Source organism: Homo sapiens, chromosome 12, assembly GCF_000001405.40.
Source record: "Homo sapiens chromosome 12, GRCh38.p14 Primary Assembly".
Classification (NCBI taxonomy): Eukaryota; Metazoa; Chordata; class Mammalia; order Primates; family Hominidae; genus Homo; species Homo sapiens.
Genome location: NC_000012.12, coordinates 12,282,245 through 12,290,197, shown reverse-complemented (window position 1 = coordinate 12,290,197; position 7,953 = coordinate 12,282,245). Strand labels below are relative to the sequence as shown.

The 7,953-nt window shown below is 44.3% G+C and overlaps 1 pseudogene, besides 1 other annotated feature; it reads left to right on the top strand.

The window, feature by feature from the left end:
* On the top strand, positions 869-971 carry RNU6-318P (RNA, U6 small nuclear 318, pseudogene; annotated as a pseudogene).
* Positions 5,886-6,427: an enhancer, noted in NCBI's record as "H3K27ac-H3K4me1 hESC enhancer chr12:12436705-12437246 (GRCh37/hg19 assembly coordinates)". NCBI's record gives its function as "activates a minimal SCP1, AML or CMV promoter by ChIP-STARR-seq in primed H9 embryonic stem cells {active_cell/tissue: H9 hESC(primed)}" and the evidence as "EXISTENCE:reporter gene assay evidence [ECO:0000049][PMID:30033119]".

The following is a 7,953-nucleotide window of genomic DNA, read 5'->3' as shown; positions in this document are numbered from 1 at the left end:
CTGCTTGCATAGCTTTATTACTTGCCTACTACATGCCAGGAATTCTACAACAGACTGGGATGAAAAGATGCCTTACAAAGAAGCATAACATATTCTGGAAGAGACAGCCTGTTTTCATTCAGAATGCTATCACAGAATACCATAGAGCAAGTGGCTTAAAGAATAAACATTTTAAACAGCAAGCATGTATTTCTCACAGTTCTAGAGACTGGGAAGTCCAAGATTAGGTGGCTGACAGATCTGGTGTCTTGTGAGGGCACTCTTTCTAGTTTGTAGATGGCTATCTTCTCATTGTATCCTCATATGGGAGAGAAAAAAATATCACCTCTCTCGTGTCTCTTCTTATAAGGAAACTAATACCATTTGTTTTTTTTTGTTGTTGTTGTTGTTTGTTTTTGATTTTTTTTTTTTTTAGACAGTCTCGTTCTGTCACCAGGCTGGAGTGCAGTGGCACAATCTCGGCTCACTGTAACGTCTGCCTCCCGGATTCAAGCGATTCTCCTGCCTCAGCCTCTCGAGTAGCTGGGACTACAGGTGTGAGCCACTACACCCAGCTAATTTTCATATTTTTAGTAGAGACGAGGTTTCACCATGTTGGCCAGGATGGTCTCGATCTTTTGACCTCATGATCCGTCTGCCTTGGCCTCCCAAAGTGCTGGGGTTATAGGCATCAGCCACTGCACCCACAGTAGATATCCACAAATGGTATCTACTGATACCATTTGTAAGGGCTCCCCCTTATGACCTAATCACGTTATAAAGATGCCACCTCCTACTACCCTCACCTTCAGTGTTAGTATTTTAACATATAATTGTTGGGGGGCACAAACATTCAGTTCACAATACAGTCAAAGAAACAAATGCTTTGGTGATGGCTTCGGCAGCACATATACAAAAATTGGAATGATACAAGATTAGCATGCCCCCTGCTTAAGGATGACACACAAATTCGTGAAGCATTCCTTTTTTTTTTTTTCTGTTGCTCAGGCTGGAGTGCAGTGGCGTGATCTCGGCTCACTGCAACCTCCACCTCCTGGGTTCAAACAATTCTCCTGCTTCAGCCTTAGCTGGGATTACAGGCACATGCCACCATGCCTGGCTAATTTTAGTACAGAAGGGGTTTCACCATGTTGGTCAGGCTGGTCTCAAACTCCTGACCTCATGATCTGCCCGCCTCAGCCTCCCAAAGTGCTGGGATTATAGGCGTGAGCCACCGAGCCCCACCAGCATTCCATATATATATATTTTTTAATTGAAAAAAGAAAGAAACAAGCTGGGTGTGGTGGCTCACACCTGTAATCCCAGCACTTTGGGAGGCCAAGGCAGGTGGATCACCTGAGGTCAGGAGTTTGAGATCAGCCTGGCCAACATGGTGAAACCCCATCTCTACTAAAAACAAAAATTAGCTGGGTGTGGTGGCATGCACCTGTAATCCCAGCTACTCGGGAGGCTGAGGCAGGAGAATCACTTGAACCCGGGAGGTGGAGGTTGCAGTGAGCCAAGTTCATGCCACTGCACTCCAGCCTGGGTGACAGAGCAAGACTGCGTCTCAAAAAAAAAAAAAAAAAAAAAAAGGAAAAGAAAAGAAAGAAAGAAATCAGTACCTACATTTAAGAACATAGTTTTATTTATTTATTTATTTATTTTGAGACGGAGTCTTGCTCTGTCACCCAGGCTGGGGTGCAGTGGCGTCATCTCGGCTCACTGCAAGCTCCGCCTCCCAGGTTCATGCCATTCTGCTGCCTCAGCCTCCTGAGTAGCTGGGACTACAGGTGCCCACCACCACGCCCGGCTAATTTTTTGTATTTTTAGTAGAGATGGGGTTTCACCGTGTTAGCCAGGATGGTCTCAATCGCCTGACCTCGTGATCCGCCCACCTCGGCCTCCCAAAGTGCTGGGATTACAGGCGTGAGACACTGCACCCGGCCCCAGAACATAGTTTTAAAGAAAAAGTAGGAAGTGGCTGAGAGAAGGTAGAGGTATGTGTTTTCGATAAAAAGAACAGCATAAGCAAAGGCAGGGGGTTGAAACAGGACAGCAATTGCTGGGATCTTAGAAGTTGGAGTTTGAGAGTGGCAGATTAGGCAGCTGGAGAGGGAGAACAAGAGTAACCGACTGCTCCACTTTGCCCAGAACTGTCCCAGTTTTAGCAGTGAAAGTCCCCTGTCCCTCAGTTCTGGGCAAACCAGGATGGTTGGTCACAGGAGGACAGAAGACAGGACGCAGAAAGTCTTCTGTGCCATGCCAAAGAGCACACTCTTTCTGTTGTTGTTGTTGGTGATGGTGGTGGTGTTTTTTTTTTTTTAGATGGAGTCTCACTCTGTTGCCCAGGCTGGAGTGCAGTGTCGAGATCTTGGCTCACTGCAACCTCTGCCTCCAGGTTCACACAGTTCTCCTGCCTCAGCCTCCCAAGTAGCTGGGATTATAGGTGCCCGCCACCATGCCCGGCTAATTTTTGTATTACTAGAGATGGAGTTCCACCATGTTGGCCAGGCTGGTCTCTAACTCTTGACCTCAAGTGTTCCCCCGACCTTGGCCTCCCAAAGTGCTGGCATTATAGGTGCGAGCCACTGCACCTAGCCAAGAAGCACACTCTTGATCCATCAGGATCAAGAGCCACTAAGGGTGACAGGAGGGATCTGGAAAAACATCACGGGGCTGCATTAGCAAGCGTAGGGGCCACAGTGGGCTAACCCTACACAAGACAGGGGAGGACAAATCAAGTCTCCTGGCTTTTGCTGTCCCACTCATACGGGAAAATTAAAACATATAAAAACAAAAACAAAACAAAAGAAAATATTGTTAAAGAGGGAGGAAGGCAAGGCAGGAAGGCAAGGAGAGAGGATGAGACTGGAAGTCTGGAGTTCTGTGTTCATTCTTTCTACTTACCCAAACAAGCTCTGGAAGCTTCAGTTTCCACATCTGTGAAATGGGATAACACCTACCTCCTTGGTTTGTTTTGATGATCAAACAACAGAGTGCATGTAAAAACGCTTGGTATACTATAAAGCCCTATATGAGTATTACTAATAGGACCACTGTCACTCAAAATGTACCCAACCACATCAATCTAGAAAGCGTGATTTTGGTTGTAATTTCATCACATTGCTTATTGCTTTCAACAGCACTCTGTCATCATTAATAACTCCTGCAGGTCAGCAGGCTTGAGTGGCATTGAGAGCTGCTGAGAATTGCTAGGGGAAAGGCAGTCCAGATTTTTCGTCTTCTTCTCCCACATTATACACATTTAGGCCAGGCGCTTGTGGCTAACACCTGCAATCCCAGCACTTTGGGAGGCCAAGGTGGGCAGATCACTTGAGGCCAGGAGTTTGAGACCAGCCTGGCCAACATAGTGAAACCCCATCTCTACTAAAAATATGAAAATTAGCCAGATGTGATGTGCTCCTGTAATCCCAGCTACACGGGAAGCTGAGGCACGAGTATCACTTGAACCTGGGAGGCGGAGGTTGCAGTGAGCTGAGATTGTCCCACCACACTCCAGCCTGGGCGACAGAGTGAGACTCAGTCTCAAATAAATAAATAAATAAATAAATAAATAAATAAATAAATAAATATTTAAACCAGGTAAAGTGAGATTAAAAAGAACAAGAGCAGGGCATGTGGACAGAAAGGAATGGGAAATATTTGTTCTAGACTCCAAAGTATGGGTTGATATCAAGTTGATGTTAAGTCAGATCATGCTCTGCTTATGTTCTTTTTTTTTTTTTTTTTGAGACCGAGTCTCACCCTGTTGTCCAGGCTGAGTGCAGTGGTGCGATCTCGGCTCACTGCAACCTCTGCCTCCTAGGTTCAAGCGATTCTCCTGCCTCAGCCTCCCGAGTAGCTGGGATTACAGGCCACCACACCTGGCTAACTTTTATATTTTTAGTAGAGATGGGGTTTCACCATGTTGGCCAGGCTGGTCTCAAACTCCTGGCCTCAGGTGATCCACCTGCCTTGGCCTCCCAAAGTGCTGGGATTACAGGTGTTAGCCACCACGCCTGGCCTCCTTATGGTCTTTTAATAATTACCTTTTGCCTGGAAGTTAAAGCTCACACTTCCTGATCTTACCCTTATTTACTTCTCTAGGTTCTTTTTTTTTTTTCTTTTTTTTGGGGACAGGGTCTTGCTCTGTTATCCAGGCTGGAGTACAGTGGTATGATTATGGCTCACTGCAGCTTCAGCCTCCTGGGCTCAAGTGATCCTCCTGCCTCAGCCTCCTGAGTAGATAGGACTACAGGTGTGTACCACCATGCCTTTAAAATTTTATTTTTTTGTAAAGATGAGGTCTCTTTATGTTGCCCAGACCGGTCTCAAACTCCTAGGCTTAAGTGATCCTCCCATCTTGGCCTCCCAAAGTGCTGGGATTACAGGTGTGAGCCACTGCACCTGGCCTCTAGGTTCTCTTTAGTCCTTTGCTCTGGTATAGCTTACATTCCAACCACAACAAACTGCTAGCCATGGTGAAGTTTATTGTTTTCTATTCCAGCTGTTCTTGTCCTTCTCCCTTTGTCTGACCTTCCTTCTGGCATATACCTCCACTATGAGCTCAGATGCTACCTCCAACTGAAATCGACTTTGACTTCTTCAGGCGCAATCAGACACCTGTGAGCCTATAGCATGTTGAGCTCTTTTCTAGAACAGGGGAGAGTATCATGTAGCAGAAGAGCATTGGGTTTCCAGTCACACTCTGGCTTTTAAGCCCAGATCTACCATTTTCTTCCTTGGATGAAGCATAAGAGAAGCACCAGTGTAGATTGTGAAGGGCATGGATTCTGCGGCCAGACAGCCTGGCTGTGGGACCTTGGACAAGTTACCTAAACGCTTGGTCCCTCAGCACCCACGGATGTAAAACGAAGGTGATGATATTAATGCCCTCCTCAAAGGATAGTTGTGAAAGTAAAATGAGTTAATAAAAAAAATAAAATGAGTTACATGAGAAAACACTGAGGGCTGGGCGTGGTGACTCATGCCTGTAATCCCAGCACTTTGGGAGGCTGAGGCGGGTGGATCACTTGAGGTTGGGTGATCGAGACCAGCCTGGCCAACATGGTGAAACCCGGTCTCTACTAAAAATACAAAAATTAGCTGGGCACGTTGGTGCACGCCTATAATCCTAGCTACTCGGGAGGCTGAGGCATGAGAATTGCTTGAACCTAGAAGGCGAGGGCTGCAGTGAACCGAAATCACAGCACTGCACTCCAGCCTGGGCGACAGAGGGGGACTTTGGTCTCAAAACAACAACAACAACAACAACAATTTAAAAATAAATAAATTAATTAAAACATTGAGAACAGGGCCCGACACTTGCTTGTCTGCTCTTGTTATTAATCTCACAGTTTCTTCTTTTGTGAAAAGGGAATAACACTCACTGGTGAGAGCGGAATGAAGATGACTGGAGGTAAGCAGGAGTGCTTGGTATAGAGAAGAACTCTTTTTCTTGCCCTTTACCTCTTGTCCTTGGAATTCCAATTCTTCATTTATAGGTATTTCCACCACTAAAATCTCCCAGCTCCCCCAGGGAAGAGAAAAGCTCACATCTTTGTGTCCTCAGCCTCTGGCACACAGTAGGTGCTCAAGAAATGCTTGGTGAAAGAATTGATAAAAATGTAGTAGTAGAAAAACTCAAAATGACCTTAAAGTCCTCTTAGCAATATCCTGAAAGGCCACCAAATAGGAATGTTAATCCCTAAAATCCTGTATCTTTATAAATTGGTGTGAAATTCACTGTTTATTAGGTTTTTTTTTTTCTTTTAATTTTGTGTTTGTATTTCTTGGTGTTTCCCCCCTCCTCCTGAGGTCTTCTTTCTTCTCTGTACTCTGCATTAATCTTGGACAGGGTTTCTCAGCCTTGGCACTAACAGCTTTTTTTTTTTTTTTTTTTTTTTTTTTTTTTTGAGACAAGGTCTCATTCCTGTCGCCCAGGCTAGAGTGCAATGGCACAATCACAGCTCACTGCAGCTGACCTCCTGGGGTCAAGGAATCCACCCGCCTCAGGCTCCCAAAGTGCTGGGATTACAGCTGTGAGCCACTGCGCCTGGCCTTTTTTTTTTTTTTTTTTTTTTTCTTTTTTGTAGAGACGAGGTCTTGCCCAGCTTGGTTTTAACTCCTGAGCTCAAGTGATCCTGCTGGCTCAGCCTCCCAAAGTGCTGGGATTACAGAGGTGAGCCACTGAGCTAGGCCTTTGTGTTTTTTTTAGAGACAGAGTCTTGCTCTGTCACCCAGGCTGGAGTGCAGTGGTGCGATCATAGCTCACTGCAGCCTTGACCTCCTGGGCTCAAGTGATCCTCCTGCCTCAGCTTCCTGAATAGCTGGGACAACCTGCATGCACCACCACACCCAGCTAATTTTTTATTTTTTTGTAGAGATGAGATCTCACTGTTTGTTGGCCTGGTCTCAAACCCCTGGGCTCGAGAGATCCTCCCATGTCCACCTCCCAAAGCACTAGGATTACAGGCATGAGCCATCGCACTTGGCCAACTCGCTTGTGGGGACCGTCTAGTATGTTGTAGGATGCTTAGCAACATCCCTGCCCTCTACCCACAAGATGCCAGTAGCATCTCCCACCCCGTAGTTCTGACAACCTAAAATGTCTCTGGACTTGGCCAAAAGTCAGATGGCTGGAGGGTGCAACCCTTCAGAAACACATGTCTAGGGAATCTGCTTAAGTGCTTTCACATAAAGTAAATCTTGGTAGAATTGATTTTTTTCTCTTTATCTCCAAGGCAAAAATTGGGTTCATATACTTCACCTCCCAATGGAACAGATTCTGACAGGGAAGGAAAAAAAAATATGTTTTCTCCCCTGACTGCAGTGTTCTGTATCTTCACTCTCAGAAATGCGAGGACAGGCAGGGTGGGATCAGGACCGTGTTTTATTTATCTGGACAAATGCTCCCAAAATAGCAATGGCAAGTTTTTTTCTTTTTCTTTTAGAAAACTGTAAGAATTCAGTGTTTTACAATTCAGATGAAGGCTAAAAACATATCAAGCTGTGTGATTTTCTGGGAGTGAGGAGAGGGGTGGTTCCATCATGGCATAACTGCATTAAAACTGTTCAACATCAGAAAGACTTTTTACGGCATCAAAGAAAAACGTATATGTTGAAAAAGAATATGCATGCTAAAACACATTGTTACTATAAATCCTTGAATCTGAGACACAATGAACAGTGTTGCCTTACTAATAGTACAACTTTAAAACTATTTAAGCTGGGAAATTTGTTATCGGGTGACTCATACAACTGGGGAAATCCAGTTCCTTGGTGCCAAAGATTAAAGAAAGAGATTAAGTATTTAAATGTTGAGATTCCATTCAGTCTTGTGAATGAATTAAAGTAAGCTTGGACGGGTAGAAAAGAAAGAGGGTAGCTACTCATCAAGTTAAAGATGTTAAAGAGCTCTCCGGATTTAAATGATAAAACCTTATATTTATAACAGGTTTATCTTTCAAATAGCATGCATACTTTTATTTTTTTATTTTGAAACATTTGCAAAGTTGAATAAAAAAGTTAAGTGCAGTGCAAAGGACTTTTTGTCCTTGACCATTTGAGAGTGAGGACTTGGTGCTCCACCACCCCAAATATTTTTAGTATTGTTTCCTACAAATAAAGACCTTCTCCTACGTAATCACAGTGCAACCATCAAAATTAGAAAATTAACATTGATACATGATCACTACCTAATCCTCAGATCTCACTCAAGTTTTGTCAATTGTCTCAATAAAATGTTCTGTAGCAATAGGATCCAGTTCAGAATCACACATTGTTCTGAGTCTTTATGTCTGTCTAGTCTGCTTCAGCCTGGAACAATTCCCCAGTCTTTCCTTGACGTTCATGACCTTGATACATTTGAAGAAAACAGGTCGGTTATTTTGTAACTTGTCCCTTAATTTGGGGTTTACTGGTGTTTTCATATGATTACATTCAGGTTATACACCTTTTAGAGGAATACCA